Source organism: Homo sapiens, chromosome 6, assembly GCF_000001405.40.
Source record: "Homo sapiens chromosome 6, GRCh38.p14 Primary Assembly".
Classification (NCBI taxonomy): Eukaryota; Metazoa; Chordata; class Mammalia; order Primates; family Hominidae; genus Homo; species Homo sapiens.
Genome location: NC_000006.12, coordinates 39,827,781 through 39,848,321, shown reverse-complemented (window position 1 = coordinate 39,848,321; position 20,541 = coordinate 39,827,781). Strand labels below are relative to the sequence as shown.

At 49.1% G+C, this 20,541-nt stretch overlaps 1 protein-coding gene across 19 annotated transcripts in view; it reads right to left on the bottom strand.

Moving 5' to 3' along the window:
- The window catches only part of DAAM2 (dishevelled associated activator of morphogenesis 2), a 112,494-nt gene that overhangs the window by 56,548 nt on the left and 35,405 nt on the right, over window positions 1-20,541 (bottom strand). Inside the window, exon 2 of one of the 19 annotated variants that reach the window (XM_047418535.1) lies at window positions 17,953-18,043. The exons of 15 other annotated variants lie outside the window; for them this stretch is intronic. The gene's annotated coding sequence lies outside the window, so the exon portion shown is untranslated. Of the gene's footprint in view, window positions 1-6,675; window positions 6,779-17,952; window positions 19,271-20,541 lie in introns of those variants that run through there. 3 more of the 19 variants (XM_006715045.4, XM_047418539.1, XM_047418540.1) reach the window with 3 other exon arrangements.

Here is a 20,541-nt window from a genome sequence, read left to right as displayed (position 1 = left end):
CCACCGAGTAAATGCCATGTATAAAGCAATGTTCTGGGTATCTTAGATGAGCCTGACATCAGATCCTAGGATGTAAGGGAGGCAAGGAGGTGCGGCTCCAGGCCCTGGGACTGTAGGTGGGGAAGAGTGACTTCTGGCTGGAAGGATCTGGAACATTCACCAGAAGAAGTGTCAATGAAGCTGGGCCTCAGAAGAAGAGAGGGCGTCAGCACATGCCAGGGGCTCAGGGGTGTCCAGGAAAGCATTCTCAACAAGTGGCATGCCAGAGTGAGAACCTGGCACAACGACAGCCCAGATGAATGAGAAGCTCTACTAGGGTGGTTCCACTGCACCTCTCAGGGCTCAAAAAGGTGCAGTGGGAACCAAAACTACAGCCAGAAAAAGGAGGGCCTTGAGTGCCAGGGGAAGAAGGAAGAAGCCATTGGAGAGTGTGTGGCTTGCTGTTGATTAGTTCCTTGACTTATGGTAGAGGAGAGAGTTTGTGAGGTCTGAGATTAGAAGAGACATTTCTGGTGGCACTGTATGGGGTGGGAAGACAAGAGGGAGAAGTGGAAGAGTGGAAGAGTTGGGAGGCAAGTCTGTGTGTCTGGGTAGAAGGGAATGAGACCCTGAACCGCCAAGAATAGAGAGGAAGGGGTGGATGCTGGTGGTGCCACGGAGGGGTGCCGGCACGTGAGTGAGAGGATGAGGGGCTGGACACACAGAGCAAGGACCTGGGCTGACTATGAACCTGGGGAGCATGGAGAGCTCTCTGGGCAACAGCTATGAAGTGAAAGAGAAGGAATTTTAGCGCCCATGTCTCTGCTACCCATTAGCGCCGTAAGTCTGGGGCTCCTGGCCAAAGGGAAATCACCCTACACAGGAGAACCCGAGGCCTCGCCCCCTCTGCTTCCAGAAGCCAAGCCCCTCCTCCGGCTCACACAGACGGGGTTGCTGTTACTGAAAGGCGCAGGGAAAGGAGCCTCCAGCTTTCTTCTGTGCTCCACTCCCAGCTCTCCCACCAGAGCAACCCATCGCTGAGGCCTCAGCACCGTTCCACAGCCCAGGACTGGGAGAAGCCCCCACTGGCTACTATTCCTGATCCTCTCTCCCAGGGTCCCAGCACAAAAAGCATTCTGTCACTCTTGAGGGAAGGACCTTGAGGTTCTGTCAGGCCAACTCTGCCCTAGAAACACAGCAGGGCCTGTGCACATGGCCCCACCTGGCCCCCGGGGCTGTGCCTTCTGCAGTACAAGGTGACCTTCCTGCCTTTCTACCAGAAAGGCCCCTGCTCCTGCCTCAGGACCCACAGGCACAGTCCATCTCCTCAGGGAGGGCAGACTGGGATGGGGCAGTAACTAGGGGGTAGGATGGGAGCTGAGCTGGCCCCTGAAAGGCAAATGTGGTTGAAAATGTAGATCCAGGGTGACTCCTTTCCTCCTCCTAAATGTTGTGTGTACAATTTCACCACTTCATTCGTTCTTTCAAACAAATATTTGTTGGGCCCCTAAGTACCATGCTAAGAGCTGTAAAAATGTAAAATAAGCATGAGTTCAGTTTGGTTGGGAAGAGAGACAAATAAATATAATAAAGTGTGGATGTGGGGCAACAGAGCGAGACCCCGTCTCAAAAAAAAAAAAAAAGCGTGGATGTGGTTATGATAAGGGAAGTACAAAGGTTTGAATCTGCGGAATGTCTGCAGAACTGTAGCCCAGCGGGGGTTCTAGTCCACCCTAAACCTTCTGCTCATAAACATGGTTTAGAGGAGGCGTCGTAGAGTAGAATGAGAGCTGGGAATACTCAGAGATGCTACCAAAGATCAAGAACAGAAGTCCAACATAGGGTTATTGATGCCATAGGAGATTGAAAACACCTTGGGCAAGAGAACATAAGTACTTTGGGCCCTGTCTGTAAATGAGCCAGTCAAACTACATATTGTCTAGTAGTTTCTTCTACCCCATCACTAGAATCTGTGTCAGACAGTATATGAGGCGTTAAATGATGCTGTTTGAATTGAATCCTATCCCATGAACTCCCTTTAGTTCATCATTCACTCATTTGCTCATTTATTCATCCAACCACCATTGATTTTTAGCACCTACTGTATGCCCGGCACTGCTCTTGGGGCTGGGTACGTGCAGGTAAACTCATCAGACACAGCTCCTGCCCTTACAGAGCTATAGTCTCCCAAGCTCAGAGTCCCTTTTGTCCTTTGTCTTCAATCCCTAATGCCCCATCCTGTGAATGATTCTCAGCACCTTTTTCTAAAACGCCTTGGATGCATTTGTTTTATTCCCAAATACCAGGCTCCAAACCAGCCCCACGTGATCCCGTGCTGAGACCAGGGCCAACCTCTCTCATTTCCCCCTTTCCTAGCCACCCTGCAAACAGCTCTCTGAATGATGTGCTTCTCGAGTTATTCTGCATTCCTGAGTTCAGCTGAATTGACAGCAGCCTAGGGCCCTGGGTGGATAAGAACAGGGCACTCACAGCCTAGGTCACACTCCAGAAATTTATTAGAGGCAGACGAGATGGCAAAGAGGACTAGGAATGGGAGCTGTGAAACGGAGTTTTCAGGACAAAGCATCGGGAGGGATGTGGATTGAGTGGGGTCCAGGAGGACCCTGAGTCCTTGTGCACTGGACAAGCAAGTATAGGAGATGCTCACTAAAGACAGGAAGAGAGAGGGAGGAGGAGAGAGAAGACATGAATGCATATCTTTGACTCTCTGGGTGAAGCGGTGGGGAGTGGTATGTGTGTGTGGTATGTATTTATGTGTGTATGTGGTATGGTGTATGTTTATGTATGTGTAGGTAGCATATGTGTGGTATGTGTACTTGGTGTATGCGCATGTGTGGTATATGTGTATGTGGTGTGGTACATATATTTGTGGTATGTGTGCGGTGTGTGTGGTGAGTGTGTGGTGTGTGTAGGTAGGGAATGTGTATGTGTGGTGTGTGTATATGTGTATGTTTGTGCATGTGTGATGTGTATGGGATGTGTATGGGATGTGTATGTGTGGTGTATACACGTGGTATCTGTGTGATGTGTGTATAGATGGGGTTTGTGTATGTGTGGTGTGTATGTGCGATATGTGTGTAATGTATGAGCATGTGTGGATGTGTGTGTAGATGGTTTATGTGCATGTCTGGTGTATGTGTATGTGTGTGGTGTGTGTATGTGTGGTGTATATGTGTGTAATGTGTGTGTAGATGGGGTTTGGGTACATGTGGTATGTGTGTATGGTATATATGTGTTGTATATGTATGTGTGGTAAGGGTGTAGTTGATGTATATGTGCATGTGTGGTGTATGTATATGTGTGGGGGGGTGTGTATGTGTGGTGTGTGTAGTGTGTGTGATGGGGTTTGTGTACATGTGGTATGTGTATGGTGTATATGTGTGGTGTGTGTGGTGTATGTATGTGTGGTGGAGGGGTGTAGGTGATGTATGTGTGCATGTATGGTATGCATATATGTGTCCATCTCCAAAAAGCAAACACACATGCTTGTACCGACTTCCAAATCTAAGTAGAAAGAACTCCCAGGCAACTCCCCAAAGTATATGAGCAGAGGAAACAGTAAGATCGCTGGAAATCAGCCCCCGTGCCAATTTCTGATCAGCCCGCTCTTCGTTTATAAAGGAGTTGCCCAAGCATAATATTTAGGAAATGTTACTGTTGAGAAGGCAATGTCTTTTCTTCTTTTTCCCATGAACCACACTATGGCCTGGGAGCACAGACTCATTCAAAGGACGCTTACATCCGCCATAGACCGGAGACTGAGTATCCACACATGCATCTCATTTAATCTTACAACAACCCAGAGAGGTCAGAATTTTTGACCGATGAGGACCCTGAGGTTCAAAACCAGGAGACGATGCCCAAACTAGGGCTCTTCCTGTAACACAGTATCACATTCCAACCCAGCTTCGATTTAGCTCTGGGTGGGGTGTGTGTGTGTGTGTGTGTGTCCAGCAGATGTAACTGGGTTTCCCTTGGGTGTATATTACAATGGGGCATACCTCCCCTCAACCCCCCACCTCTGCTATTTGAAATCAGGGTGGTAGGTTTTAGCTGCATCCCCATTGAGCTTGAAATAGAAAAAGAAAGTTGCTGACAATAATATATTCCAAACTATTCCATGCTCCATGCTTTAAAACATAAATATTTCACACATTTCTAGAAAAGAGAATACTAGTATTTATTAAAAGCTAGGCTAGGCTCAAAATTTTACAACTATTATTTAAGTATGCTAGCATCCTGCAAAAGCAGTAATATGATCTCCATTTTTACATATAAGGAAATTAAGGCTCAGAGAAAATCAGTAACTTGCCCAAGTTAGTAAAGTTGATAAAACATGTGACCTCAGTCTGACTGATTCCAACATTCAGATACAGCCTTCCCACTGCAAGCAGAACACAGCTCGTAAATGGCAGCATCACTGTACACCACACGCATCCCCACAGCCACAGCACCTCCTATGGTGCACTTCCCATCTCTTCCCCATCTCCCCATCCCAGCTCACAGGAAAGAACTCAGTGCTTGCATGACCAAACCCTGTACCTACTCACAGGCAGCAATTGGGCCCCATCGTCTCACCACACACTTAGTCACAGAAAGGTCCAGGCTGTCCCACCTTCAGGATCGGCCTCTTGGGCATGCGAGCTGGGCACACTCAGAAGGGCCCTGCGCTTGGTTTAAAGCTCTGCTATTGCCATCTTGAAACTTTTAATAATTTTTGAACAAGGAGTCCTGCATTTTCATTTTGTGCTGGGCCCGCAAATCATGCAGCTGGCCCTGCCCATCTTCTCCAGCAGCCAGCGCAGGCAGCCTTTCCCAGGAAGAGCGGCCTGGCTGGCCACTCCTTGTGTGTTTCCAAAAATGTCACCCACAGTCCCTGAATGGTCAAGACTGAACAGAGACAAGTTACTTTAATCTGGGGTGGCTTCCTGTTCAAGCGGCGTTGATCTACATCTCAGTAACTGCTGGACTACTCCCCACCCTGATCTTTCTTCCCCATCGCACCCCACTCCTCCACTCCACACTCCCTGCTTTCCGACCATGTTGTCCCACTCATTCCTCCTTAAATGCACCATTGCTCAAGGGACTGAAATTCCTAGAGGGCAGGGACATTTTTATCTCCAACTCCCCCCGCAGTGCTCTTTCCATACACACAGCAGGAACTTGATAAGAGCTAAAGGATTAAATGAATTGCTACACTGTTATCTGTCAATTTAAAAAATAAAGTTTTTAAAAATTGGTATGATAAAAAATAAATTGCTATATTTCCTGAATTCTTGACCCTATCAATTATAAGACATATCATCAATGTGATGACATGACATTAAGCATACACGAAGCTTCTACATCCTTCTGAAATTAAATAATAAAAGCAGGAGACTATTTTAGCTTTGAAACATAGTAAAGAATAGACTTGCTCGTTCCACATGCGGATTCTCAACATTACCCCTCACCCCAATCTCATGCCCACCTCCCCTGCTTCCTCCCCCTCTTCTCTCATCCATCCCCACTGCAGATGCCACCTTCCCCAAGCAGCCTCCCTAACCACTCCAACCTACCTGCATTCTCCTAAATAAACTCAAAGCACTTTTTGTCTGCTGTTTATAGGACACTTCATTATATACTTCATTACATACGTTATTTAATATCTTGTATTCATTGATTTTATTTTTATTTATTTATTTATTTTGAGACGGAGTCTCTGTCTGTTGCCCCGGCTGGAGTACAGTGGCACAGTCTCGGCTCACTGCAACCTCCGCCTCCCGGGTTCAAGCGATTCTCCTGCCTCAGCCTCCCAAGTAGCTGGGTTTACAGGCATGCACCACCACGCCCGGCAAATTTTTTATATTTTTAGTAGAGACGGGATTTCACCATGTTGGCCAGGCTGGTCTCCAACTCCTGACCTCAAGAGATCTTCCTGCCTTGGCCTCCCAAAGTGCTGGGATTACACGCATGAGCCATCTCACCTGGCCACGTGTATGTTTTTTATACCAATTAACTTCTCCCCCATCTAGACTCTGAGTCCATGAGAATAGCTCCTGGCGCAGTGGAATGTGTGCAGCAGGTCCTCAGTCCTCCGTGAGCTCTTCCTAAAGGAACGACATCTAACAGCAGCGTGTGGGGAGAGGCAGAGTGGAGAAAGTGGTTAACACCCCAGGAATGAACCTTCATGGCCCAGCCAATGACTCAGGTCCTTCAATCCATGAAGGCATCCAGGCCTTGGCCAGGCACCCTCAATAGGTTTCTCAAGTGACCCTCAGCAAGTGGCAAAGGAATGCTTCTTTATAAACCTGCATGGTTAAATCAGGTCTTGGAATTCTCAGATAAATGCAGGATGTTTTCATTTGTTTGTTTCATTTCTGTTTTTAATTTCCCCCTCCTCTCTGTCAACAAAAGGCATCTTGCATGTAAAAGGTATGAGATATTTTTCGTCTCTGTGCTTTGAGGGATGCTTTCTCTGACGGAAACGAGACTCTGGCTCCAGGACTTCAGGCTACAGAAGCTGAGATTTCCTCTGAGAACACAGGCCAATCCTCAAGCCCTGAGAACAGTCCTTGAATGGACTCCCCATTTCTAAATTGCCTTTTTTCAACCCAGACATCCTTGCAAGCTCTACCCCGATTATTGCCACTGAAGGGATCTCCCTCCTCAGTGCCCAGTGTTGAAGCCACTTACCCACCTCATCCTGGAAAGTGCCTGCTGTGTGTCACCTTTTTCCATCCTGTCACCCCTTCAGAAGCCTTTTCTCAGTTCTCCCTCCTCAAGTTGTGAACGATGTGAAATCTGATCCACCTGCCCTGAGAACTCCAAGCTCTCTCTAGCCTCTCTGATTCAGCCGAAGCCACTCAGGTCAGAGCTCCTCCCAGGAATCCCTCCATGTAGAGGCCCTCCCTCTGGAGGCCCTCCCCCACCTTTCCCCAAGGAGTTCCCTCCCCCCTGGAACCCTCCCCCTGGGACTCCCTCCCCCTGGAGCCTCTCCCCCTGGAACCCTCGCCCTAGAAGCCCCTCCCCAACCCTTCCCCAAGGAGTTCCCTCTACCCTGGAACCCCTCCCCCCGGAGCCCCTCTTCCCAGCGCCCCTCCCCCTGGAACCCTGCTGCCCCTGGAGCTCCTCCCCATGGAACCCTCCCCCTGGGACTCCCTCCCCCTGGAGCCTCTCCCCCTGGAACCCTCGCCCTAGAAGCCCCTCCCCAACCCTTCCCCAAGGAGTTCCCTCTACCCTGGAACCCCTCCCCCTGGAGCCCCTCTTCCCAGCGCCCCTCCCCCTGGAACCCTGCCCCTGGAGCTTCCCCCCATGGAACCCTCCCCGTGGGACCCCTACCCCCCAGATCCCCTCCTCCTGGAGCCCCTCCCCTGGAACCTCAGCCGGAACACCTAGCAAGCCTCACTTCCTGTTGGAAGCCATCCCGGCCACCCTTCCTCCTCCTTAGCATCCTGTGTTTCTCCCATAATCAAACATCAGGCAGATCTATTGTTTCCTGAATTACAGCCACTCTCCCTGGGTTGTGATCTTCTTAGGTCAGGGACAGTGTCGCACAGTGTAATGGGAACCCTGGTGCTCAGCACAGAGCCTGGCACATAGTAGATAGACCAGGGCTTTGCCAAGGTGCAGACCCTGGATGTCTGGCCTTCTCCTGTATCCTCTCCCCTCCAAAACTCCCCTCCATCTCCTTCCTTCAGACTAATTCAGCAATGGTCACTCCAAAATTCTCCTTTCCCTCATCTCCAGCTCCATATTTCCAACGATCTACATTTCTATTCAGATGTGCCAATGCTGGTGCCACCAACTTCCCCTACAACTAACCTCTCCTTTCCTTCCCCCTTCGGACCACCCCGAACTTCAAAGACAGAGAAGCATCTTTAACTCTTCCTTTGTCTTAAATACTGCTATATGCCAGGTATTTTATATGTACTATCTCACTTAATTCTCACAAGAAACTCCGAAATGTGGGTATTAGCATCCCAATTTTAAGGAAACCAATGTTCAGTGAAGTGAAGCAACCTTCCCAAGGTCACAAGCACAAAACTGACTGAGCCAGGATTAGAGGCAGGTTCTGACCTAGCTGCCTGTTTGTTTGTTTGTTTGTTTGTTTTTTGAGACATTGTCTCACTCTATTGCCCAGGCTGGAGTGCTGTGGTGCGATCTTCGCTCACTGCAACCTCCACCTCCCAGACTCAAGCGATCCTCCTGCCTCAGCCTCCCGAGTAGCTGGGACTATAGCCATGCACCATCACACCTGGCTAATGTTTGGATTTTGTGTAGAGACAGGGTTTCACCATGTTGCCCAGGCTGGTATCAAACTCCTGGCCTCCAGTGATCTGCCTGCCTCAGCCTCCCAAAGTGCTGGGATTATGAGTGTGAGCTACTGCGCCTGGCCATGACCCAGCTGTCTTAAACTCCCATTCTTCTCCCCCAACACACAGGTACTCCCGCACCCACACACAGTTCTCTATTTTATAGATTATCCAGTCTTCATATCCAGTCTACTGGGTTCTACTTAGAAATGCTTCCTGCATCAAGTCTGTGCTCACCTGTGTGAACACTGGGCTCCCCTCACTGGCCTCTGGGAGGCTGGCTGTGCAGAGCCTCCTGCGATTTGCTGGCAGTGTGGACTCACCTCACACTTGCTCTGTGAGCCTGCACATGCTCTAAGCTTGGAATCATTTCTCTCAGGCATTGTCCTTTCTTGCCAGCTTGGCTGACCTCCAGCCCAGGCTGAGGCTGACCCCTTTCTTCTGGACTCCATCTGCACCCTTCTCATTCTTCCTTTTGGCTTCAGGTCCTAAGCCTGGTTCTCAGGTCAGAACCACTGAACAGACTACCTGCTTAAACAATATCCTGAGTTTCCCAGCTCTCTTCTCTCAATTTAATTCCTGTTTTTTCCACTTTCAACAGAACATCTCAAACTAAGTGCACATTTTGAGTCTACCTAGTGCATTTACGAAAGATGAAGATTCCAGGGCCCTGCCCTCAGAGTTTCTAAGTAAACAGATCTGGGGGGAAGACCTACGAATCTGCATTTTAACAAGTTCCCCAGGAGATTTGGATGCAGGCAGTTTAATTTACTGCCGTTTCTCTTTCCTCTTTTTTCGCCAGAATTTTTACAAACCTTTTAACAATTCACACTTTCTATCCAAAGTTATGAGCGGATCCCTCAGGTTTTCCTGCCTGGCTGCAAAGTAGAATCACGGGGCATTTAAAAAAAATAAAAACAAAAAAACAAAAAAAAAACAATGCCTAGCCTAGACCCAACCTGAACCAATTAAAACAATCTCTGTGGGAGGAGAGAGAGGGGGGACCACTAGGGTGAGCAGTTCATCGTGGTTTGTCCAAGATCACCCTAGTTTTAAAACTGAAAGTCCTGGCCAGGCACGGTGGCTCACGCCTGTAATCCCAGCACTTTGGGAGGCCGAGGTGGGTGGGTCACTTGCGGTCAGGAGTTTGAGACCAGCCTGGCCAACATGGTGAAACCCTGTCTCTACTAAAAATACAAAAATTAGCTAGGTGTGGTAGTGTGTGCCTGTAATCTCAGCTACTCAGGAGGCAGAGACAGGAGAATCACTTGAACACAGGAGGTGGAGGTTGTAGTGAGCCGAGATTACACCACTGCACTCCATCCAGCCTGGGTGACAGAGCAAGACTCCATCTCAAAAAAGAAAAAGAAAAAAGAAAGTCCCAAATCACAGGAACCTTCTCAGTCTCAGGCAAACTGGGATGGTTGGTCACTCTTCTGGGCTCTGACAGTTGTAAAATCTCTCCAGGTGACACTAATTTGTAGGCAAGTTTACCAAACACTGGACTGCATCCAGGTCAGGCAAGGCCTCGACCAACCAGCCCACTCTCCCTACAATTCCCAAAAGTCAGAGCTCACCTGCGTTTTGTTTTCATTGAGCGCTGGTTATCTTAAAATTTGTCACTGGGCCAGCAGCATCAGCATCACCCGGGAATTTGTTTGAAAAGGTGGTGCCATCTTCAATAATAATAGCAATAATAATCCACATCTACAATTTATCCACGTTTCTTCTATGGGCCATGCACCTCCTTGGGTGCCTTATGTGTCCTCCTTCAACTCACAAGAAAAATGTGAGGTCATTATTACTGTGATCTCTAGTTGACAAATGAAGACATTGGGCCCCAGAGAGGCTGAGGCAACCAGGTGAGGTCAGATTGCTAGTTGCTGGCAACACTGTGCCTAGAGCCCAGACATGCTTAACCAAACAGCCCCATTCTACTCTCTCACCTGCAGATCTTCTGCAAATCCCTACCAGAAGCATCCGTGTGGACTGACTTGAGTGAAGTGGTGATTAGGGAATTATCTGTCAGCCATGGGCTGGTGGTACAGGTGGTTTGAGGCTGGGAGGTCCATCCCACAGGGAGAGTGTAAGGCTGATATCAGAGGGGGCCTGTTTTGATTCTGGTGCAGCAAACATTTACTGACCACCAACTAACTAGCTGGCTTGAATATGCCATCTCATTAAATTCAGCAATAACTCTGTAAAATATATGGCATTGGGGTTTTGTAGGGGCCATACATAAAAATTTCCCCTTCATGCTCAAGTTCAGGACCAGTTGAGAAACAGACACATGAAGCCCCTGATAAAGGTCAAAATAGCAGCCATTTCTTTTTTTCTTTTCTTTTTTTTTTTTTTTTTTTTTTTGAGATGGAGTTTCGCTCTTGTTGCCCAGGCTGGAGTGCAATGGTGCGATCTCGGCTCACCACAACCTCTGCCTCCCGGGTTCAAGCCATTCTCCTGTCTCAGCCTCCCAAGTAGCTGGGATTACAGGCGCATGCCACCATGCCTGGCTAATTTTTGTATTTTTAGTAGAGACGGGGTTTCATCATATTGGTCAGCACTTTGGGAGGCTGAGGTGGGCAGATCACCTGAGGTCAGGAGTTCGAGAATAGCAGCTATGTTTATGATAGAGCTGTTGGAAGGATGTGGGTTTACTGGCCAAATGCACTCCTAATATTCCACCCATGAATGACGCCAATTCACACATCCAATCACTGGCATAGGATGGGGACTATGGACCTCCCCATAGGAGCAAGCTCCTGACCCCACTGCCAAGATGCACCCACCCTGCAGGTGGCAGATCCAAGAGAGACGGGGGAGGCAGTTGACAGGCCCAGCTCATACTTCTTCGAGAGTCACCAGTTGGAGATGCCTTGGCTCTTCCTTTGAGGAAGTGATAGGAAGGGAGAAGCCTGAGAGTGGGCAGCAGGTTTCTCTACCTACATGCACATCAGAGCTACTCATGCCCCAGGCCCACTCCCAGAGATGTTGACTTAGTCTGGGAAGGGAGGGAGTGGGCATTAATATTTTGTAAAAGTTCCCCCAGGTGATGCTAAGGTGCTGAGTATTGACAGCCACTCACAGAAGATCTTCTCTTGGAAACCAGAAACCAGGGCAGTGCCTCTAGAAGAGCTGGAATTGTTCCTATTTTACAGCTAGGGAAACAAGTGCTCAGGAAACTTGAGTATCTTGCCCTCTATCCGGAGCTAGTAAATAGAATAGTAAGGATGAGTAATGGCAGTTAACAAATGGGCTTTCCCCCAAATCTAGGGTGGACGTGGAGATTTGCAGCCAGGTCGGAGCCAGATCAGCCAAACCAGCCGTTCTCAAGCTTTATCCTGCATCAGAATTTCCTGGAGGGCTTGTTAAAATGCAGATTGCTGGGCCCCACCCCAGAGTTTCTGATTTAGAGAGAAGGCTCTGTAGCTGTGAGAAGAGATGACAATGGAGCTTTGGAGTTAGGCATACCTGGGTTCTAGGTACAGCTTTGCCACCAACTAACAATATGACCTTGCCTGGTTTACTTGACCTGTCATGGGCTCAGTGTCTTCATTTGTCAACTAGAGATCACAGTAATAATGACCTCGCGTTTTTCTTGTGAGTTGAAGGACACATAAGGCACCCAGGGTGGTGCAGGGCCATAGCAGAAATGTGGATAAACTGTAGATGTCATTTTTGCTGCTGTTATTTAGGGATGCCTTCTTTAAGAAGGCTGGAAGGCTGGGGGGAGGTTTTAGATGCAGGCAAGCATACCAAGAGATAGAACACCAAAGTATGAATGAACTAAGTCTTAAAGGATGCAGCGATGTGAGCCAAAATGGAGCCAAAGCCAGTGCACAGAACTGAGAATGAGGGAATCTTCTGCACAGGGGGGAGGTCTGCTGTGAATCTGGCCGGCAGAGGGGCTGGGATTTAAAGTCACCCAAAATAGAACTTCCTTCTCTCCAAGCTTGCAATATATGTTTCCCCTCCTCCCCTTTTCTCTGGGCCACACTCCACATGCCTCTGTCCAGACTCATTTGTTAGAACTGCCCCCACTACCACCCCACCCCCAACCCTGCCCTAGGGATTCAAGGAATCTTAGTAATGTCTCCAAGTTCTGGAGGAAAGGAAGCAGAATATAAGGGGGAAGCCCTCTCTGGGCCTGTGTCTTTGTATGACTTCCCTCAGTTCCCCACCCTCCCTTCTCCCAAGACAGGGCCCTTCCAAGTCAGCATCAGCCTGGCCATCTCATTAGGGTAGGCACCAAGAGGGGCACCAACAGCCTTCTTCCAACCACTCAACCACAGAGTCCTCTCGGCATCTTCGCCAACCCATGCCCCTGTCTCTTTCATAGCTACGCTCAATGCGCATCCCCTCAAGCCTTCCCTGATGAATCTCACTGGATGGCAAGAGTTCCTTCCTCCATATGTTTGTTCATTCATTCAGCCACTCATTCCACAAATGTTCTCTGAGCACCAACTCTGTGACCTGGCACCAATACGAAAAAAGACACAGTCCCTGCCCTCCTGCAGGCTAAAGAAGAGAGCACTAGATTTGGAGTCCAGAGTTGGGAGCTCACATTGTCATAAGGAAAAAATAGAGCCCCAGCTCATGTTCCTCAAGTCTCTTCTAACGTGAGAAGAGATCTCCCAGCCACTGGTAAGACACAGTCAAATCTTCCTGCTCTCTCTCTTGCACACAGAAAATACATAAAATAAAACATATTGTATCAGACATGGAAAACACACTTCATGACTCCGTGCTGTTCTCCACCCTGCAGACTTTAGAAATTTGTCTGAGTCTCAATGCATGCCATCTTCAGTCACTACCTGGACCCCTATGTCCAGCATCTTAGCTTAATGACTATGTCAACCAGCATTTCTTGGCCTGTTCAGATGTGCCAGGCACCAGAGATAAAGAGATGAACAAAATACATTCCTGAGCACCTGGAGCTCACAGTCCAGTGGGAGAGTCATGCACATAAATAGACAGTCATGACATAATGCGGGAAGCGCACAGTGACCCAAGTAAGGCATTGTGGTGTGGGTGGAGAGAGGCACCTAATACCGCTGGCTATTGACAAGGAGGACACCAGGGAAGGCTTTCTGGAGAAGGCAATGCCAGAGCTCAGTCTTAAGGGAAAATGAGTCTGAAACTGAGCCCGTGCGTTGGCTTGACTCCTGCCACCTCAGGTCACCTTAATCACCTCTCATTGATTTTGCTCCCTTCCCTGCCCTGCCCTCCATCTCAGAATTCCCGGGGCATTGGAGCTTTTGGAAATGTGAATCCAAATGCATGTGGTGTGATTATGGCTGGATTTTCTCCTTCCTCTTATATAGAGTTAATATAACACCAATAGCATGATGCTGATTATGTAATAAAAGCTTAAAACATAAAGTGAGAGTTAATCTCCCCCTATTTTTAGGTGGTGCCCAGATACCCCCTTCGCCTTTCAACTCCAGTGCAAGTGAAGCCAGAGCTGAGTTTTCAAATGTCGCACATGATCCTCAACAGCTACTAGCAGACAGAAAAGGGCAGGGCTTTAGCCAACTTGAGCACTGAGAGTCAGGGCTGTACCAGGCTCGGCGAACAGGAGCTACTGCTGCAAATCAAAGGCCTCTTTCACTAGGGAAGCAGAGTGGAGTTGAAGGATGTCCACATCACACTTTTTCTCCAGTGCAGTCACCCAAACAGTTAGTGAAAAGTCATAGTTAAAATGAGTGAAAAAAGAAGGATGTAGGTAGTCACATGCATACAAATGGGGGAATTTGAAAACCAACAAGCCCCTCTCTAAATCTGAAATGAGATATCCTATGACAATATAAGAGGTATGCTCTTATATTTACCCCTGGTGGAGCCAACTGAAACCCATCCCCATTTCTCTGGGGGATATTGTACGTTATTCAAGGCGCTACATCACACGTCACTGAGTGCTAAAGAGCCATTACCCCAAGACTCATTTCTGAGAAGCAGCAAAAGCCTCAGGCATACGACGGGGTCAAGAATCCAGAATTTTTAGATTCTAAACTTGGCTCTGCCACTAACAAGCTGCAAGACTTTGGGAAAGTTGCTTGACTTCTCTAAGCCTTACCTCCTTCATCTGTAGAGACTATGACAGGACCTAACCCCAAGGTAGTGGTGAGGACTGAGTGAGAATTCAGGCATAGCCCTGCTTGCCAGATACAGAGGATTTCACAAGGAAAATATTTAAAATATTTCCCAACATATTTACCTCTGGAAAATGCCAGTGTTTCCTTTTTTTTCCTTTTCTTTCTTTTCTTGTACACTTCTAATATCAGAGCTAAGCCAGGACCTTGTTTTCCCTGGGAAAAGAAGACTGATAGCTTCCAGAACAAAATGGTGCATAGAGGGAGGAACAGTTGATACAAGGTAATGATGTCTCCTCTAGACAGGACAGGGCAATAGAAAACCTTTATAGGCTGTGCGTGGTAGCTCAAGCCTGTAATCTCAGCACTTTGGGAGGCTGAAGCAGGTGGATCACTTGAGGTCATGAGTTCGAGACCAGCCTGGCCAACATGGTGAAACTCTGTCTCTAATAAAAATATGAAAAAACTTAGCCAGGTGTGGTGGTGCACACTCATAATCTCAGCCACTTGGGAGGCTGAGGCAGAAGAATCACTTGAACCTGGGAGGCAGAGGTTGCAGTGAGCTGAGATCACACCACTGCATTCCAGCCTGGGCGACAGAGCGAGACTCCCATCAGGAAGGAAGGGAAGGAAGGGAGGGAGCAAAGCAAAGCAGAAGAAAAGGAAAAGAAAAGAAAGGAAAAGAGAAAAGAAAAGAAAAAGAAAATCTTTCTAGTACTAGGAGGAAAAGAAAGTAAATGCCCTGGATTCCACTTCCTTCCCCACCTCCAGAGAAGAGAGGAGGGGGTGGTTTGCAGTGTCATTAGAAATAACTCAATGACTTGGAGAATTTCAGAATAGGGTGCAGGGTTGGGGAAAGGTCACGTGGATAAACCCTGCCTAAACCCAGCTCTGAGCAAACATGGCTGGCAACAGCTGAGGAAGTTACCTGGGGGCTGCCCTCGGGCCCACCCATTTAGAACCCTCACATCCCAGACCAGCCACTGGACACCTGGGCCCTCCAGGAGTGGGTGGACGTCCTGGCAGAGCCAGGAGCCTGAGGAAGACCTAAGCTTCAGCAGTGGGTGCCAAGTCTACCCTCAGAAGCCCTGGGGACCGGACCAGACCTGGCCCCTTCAATGGAGTTCAGCACAGAGGCCCAAGCAGCAGAGAGAGCAAGGTACAGCTCCGTGGAGAACTGCAGAAACCCTGCAGCCCCCAGGCCCTTCCCTGGTCACCAGGAAAATACTGGAGCTTCCCCAGGAAGCCAGACCATTCAGGGGAGGGGCACTGGGAGCTGCCCTCACAGGAAGTTTGAATTTTGACTTGATGGGACCTCGCTCCAAAGCAACTCATTTAAATCAGAGACTAAAGTACCTTTATTTTTCACACTAAGTTTTTCATTGAAAATTATCCATTATAAGAATCAATTACTTTTTCCTGCACAGCTGAGTGTCGTTATTCATGTTCGCTGCCCAGTTTAGTAAGTCTTCAATAAATATGAGCTGCTATTATGTCATCAATCATCATCACCACCACTAAGTGGGTTATTCCCAGATAGACAAAAGGAAGGGAAGAAGAGGACAAGAGCAAAAAACAGTCCCACTTTTGTTTCAGATCTGAGTCCTCGGAGGGCTCAGGGAGGCTGGCTGGCATAGGAGGAGAGGGGAGAAGGGGAGCCTCTGGGACCCCCTCACTGGGGAGCTCATCCTCTCCTTATTTGACACAAACTAGTCAAGCCCCACTTTCACCCAGGTTTAACTGCAACTGACCTGTCGGCCCCTCTACCCTTTCCTCACCAAGGGAGCTGCAGAGGAGTGAGCACCAGTGCACCTGCCTCCCTAGCGTACCTGTCCCCCCAGTACACCTGTTCCCCCAGTGCACCTACTCCCTCAGTACACCTGTCCCCGCAGTGTACCTGCGCCCCCAGTGCACCTGTCCCTCCAGTATACCTGCCTCCCCAGTGCACCTACCCCCCAGTGCACCTACCCCCCCAGTGCACCTACCCTCCAGTGCCCCGGCCCTCGCACTGCATCTGCCCCTTCAGTGCACCTGCCCCCCAGTGCACCTGCCCCCTCAGTACAACTGCCCCCTCGGTACACCTGCCTCCCCAGTGCACCTACCCCCCAGTGCTCTGGTCCCTGCACTGCACCTGCCCCCCCCCAGTGCACCTGCCCCCTCAGTACACCTGCCTCCCCAGTGCTCCTGTCCCCACAGTGCACCTGCCCCCTAGTGCACCTGTCCCTCAGCGTGCCTACCCCCCAGGCCACAGACCTGGACTGTTCAGGTGGGGTCTTACAAGCCTCTTGACCTTCCCACCCATTTACTGTCTTTGTGGCCCTGGCAGAGGCCACACAGAGGTTAAGAGCCAGAACTCAGGAGTTAGACTTCCTGGGTGCAAATCCTAGAGCTGCTTCTTATCTGCTGTGTCATCTTTGGCAAGTTACTTAACCTCCCTGTGCCTCAGTTTCCCCATGTGAAAATGAGAATAATAATAGTAATCTGCCTCAAAGATTGTGGGGATTAATTGTGGGGATTAATTTAGTGAGTCAGGTACAGTGATTAGGGTAGCACCAGGCACCTATTCAGCACTAAGTGTGAATAACTCACACCCTCTCAGTGAGGTCTTTCAAGGGCATCTGAAATAGCAGCCCCGCTCCCAGCACCTCCCATCTCCCTTCCCTTCATTTTCCACGTAGACTTACCACCACCTGACAGACTATACATCCCATGTATTCATTATCCCTCCCACAAGAATGTATATTCCATGGGGCATTTTTGTCTATCATTCATTGCTGTATCCGCAGTGACTAGAATTACTACCTGGTACATAATAGGCCCTTGTAATAAAGAAGGAATATATGAAACTTACTAACTGTGTAGACTTAGGCAAGTTACATAACTCCCCACATGCCTTAGTTTACTCATCTGAGAAATGGAGATGATGCCCACACCCTCACGTTGATGTGAAGATTAAATGAGGCAACATTTGTAAATATGCCCACTCCGGTCCTTGGTACATGGTCGACCTGAGAGGACCAGTTTCTGCCTGATGGAGGAAGGGCCTGAAATGGTTAATCCCTGACTCTCCTCCCCCATGCAAAGCTGGTCCGGACTGCAGGGCCACTGGCAGCTATCCAGGTGGAGGCTAAATGTCAGAGGTGTGTGCCTGCAGAGCTGCCCTGGTCCTGATGCAGTCTTGACCCAGGCAGCTGGAGCCCCTCGCCACCCCCTCCTGCTGCCTGGGCCTGGAGCATTTGGGAGTGCAGGAGCAGAGTGGTGGGAACCTCCGCAGGCCTGGGTCCCACGCCACATCCTGGCCTTGGGGGAGGTGGGCCCAAGGCCTGGACTTGCTTCCCAGCTATTCCCAGGCGGCCCTCTCTCCTGCTGGCCCAGCTGCACTGCCTGAGCCGGAGGGCCACAGGGGTAGGTCTGTCTGTCAGCATCACTTGTCCCCACTCACGATGAAGAAGACGCAGGCCTCAGCACAAGCACAGTCTGGACTCAGAGCCCCACTCTGTCAGCCCTGAAGCCCACCTGCCTCCCTCCCTGGGAGGGAGTGCGTGGAATGACAGTCACAGAGGACTCACCGGACCCCAGCGACTCCAGCCTGTGGCTTCCCAGATTTCTCCAATTTCTCGCAATGCCCCAGCTTTTCAGCAACTTCTCTGAGAGTCATGCCTCTCCATGACGGACCCAGAAAAAGATGAAAATAGATAGACACAGGCTTCAGTGTGAATGCTGAAGATGAAATAAATGCAGTCCAGCATTGCCCCATGGGCATCCACTCCACAACCATCTATGAACCCCCACTCTGGGCCAGACACTGTGCACTGTAGGATGCGGCAGTGAATAAAACACAGACCTGATTGTAAAAATCTCCCAGTCGGAAAGGGGGTACAAATGTGAGCAGGCCGGGGTAGTGGGCAGAAGTATCTTGGTGGAGCTGTACAGGGAATGATGAGAGTATGGATGAAGGGTCTCTAACTCAGCGTGGGGAAGGAGGGAGCATGAGAAATCTAGAAGGGTGGTACCAAGGTGCTTCTGGCCAGCAACAACTTGGGGGAGAACAGAGGAGCTAATAAATGGAGAAATGATATTTCCCACCAAGGGGCCGGCTCAGAACGGCTCTGGGGAGGGTGCCAGCTTCAACTCCCATCCTCCCAATCTTCAAGCACTTTTACCAGAAACTAAGCCCTCTGAGGGCAGGGACCAGGTTCAGTCTGCATCCCTAGAATGAGGACAGGCATATATGGCAGGCACTGAGTAGAAATGTCTGAGTGTGCCAATGAATAAACAAACCCCTGAAGGTAAGATCACTACTGACCCAGGGACATGTTGCTTTTTTGTTATCCCACAGACATTAACATAAATTTCTATTGCCCAATTTCCTCTTGGTAAGTGTAAGAACCCTCACAGGCTATAAACTCTCCAACTGGTGCCAAATGAGGTATCACTCAGCCTCCAACACAAGCCTCTTAAGAGGGAACCAACCATGGGGTTCTGTCCATCACCCTGAGTGCTGCCAGCCTCCCCATCGATGGTCACCACAGTCACACTCCTTTGGTACACCCTGGGAAAAGCCGCAAGAATCACACACCACTGAGGATAATGGCCAGAAAGTCACTGCCAATGTTTGTGGCTCAGTATTTACAGAAAAACAGGATCATTCTGTGCTTGCTACCCACAACCAGTCATAGGCGCATGTGCAGGCCCATCCACACACCCTGTGTGGAACACACAGCCCGCTCCCCAGGCCCCTGCCATCAACAAAAGTATACAAAGAAGAGATGCCAATTGGATTTATCTGTTTAAACAGCATCCCGTGAAGCTGGTCCCTGGGTGAATTATCCAAACAGTAACCATTCTTGCTTCTTTCTTAAAGAAAAACTGTAGAGAGCATAAATTCTCCTTGCATCTCTGCTATTCATTCATGCAGCCAATATTTAATAAGGACCTACTATGCGTTAGCCCCTGCTAGTGGAACTGTGCTATGGTTTGCATGTCTGTGTTCCCTCCAAAATGCATATGTTGAAACTTAATCTTTGTTGCAATAATACTAAGGGTGGGGCCTTTTGGGAAGTGATTAAGTCATGATGGCTCTACCTTCATGAATGGATTAGTGCATTATAAAAAGGCGGGAGGCAGAGGCGGGCAGATCACAAGGTCAGGAGATCAACACCATCCAGGCCAACATGGTGAAACCCCGTCTCTACCAAAAATACAAAAATTAGCCGGGCATGGTGGCACGCACCTGTAGTCCCAGCTACCCGGGAGGCTGAGGAAGGAGAATCACTTGAACCCGGGAGGCAGAGGCTGCAGTGAGCTGAGATCGCACCATTGCACTCCAGCCTGGCGACAGAGCAAGAATCCGTCTCAAAAAAAAAAAGACGGAGGGGGGTGGAGGGAATTAGCTTAGGCCCTTTTAGCCCTTCCATTCCTTCTGTCATGTAAGGACACAGTGTTCTTCCCCTCCAGAGGAAGGAAAGGAACACAGACATGCAAACTATAGCATAGTTCCACTGGCAAGGGCTAATGCATAGTAGGTCCTTATTAAATATTGGCTGCATGAATGAATAGCAAAAATGCAAGGAGTACCTATGCTCTTTACAGTTTTTCATTAAGAAGCAACAAAACACCACCTTAGGAGCAGAGGGCAGCCCTCACCAGACAACAACTCTGCTGGCACCTTGATCTTGCACTTCCCAAAGTCCAGAACCATGAGAAATGTTGTTTTGGTTTATAAATTACCCAGTGTGTGGAATATTGGCACAAATGGACTAAGACATACTAGAAATGCAAAACTGAACCAGTCAGGGCTTTGCATTCTGGAAGCTAATAGTCTAGCGAGAGTCAGACAGAACAGTGGTTTTCAAACATTGTGCTCAGTGCTTCATCAGGGACAGGCCTGTGGGAGCACAGGTGAGAGGGAACCCTACTACCTGAAATTGGTGGGGAGGAGGAGGCGTTAGAGAGACTTTGTAGGTGTGGTGATTTTTGGGCTGAGTCTCCAAGGACAGCGAGGCGTTCCCCAGGTATGAGCCTTCAGGTAGCAGGGAGGGCAGGAGTTAGAAGTGTGAGCGGCAGGGCAGGCAGAGCTTGGGCAGCTGGCAAGATGACCCAAGAAGTACTCCAGGGCTCAGACATGAAGGGACTATACCCCTTGAATTCTGAAACTG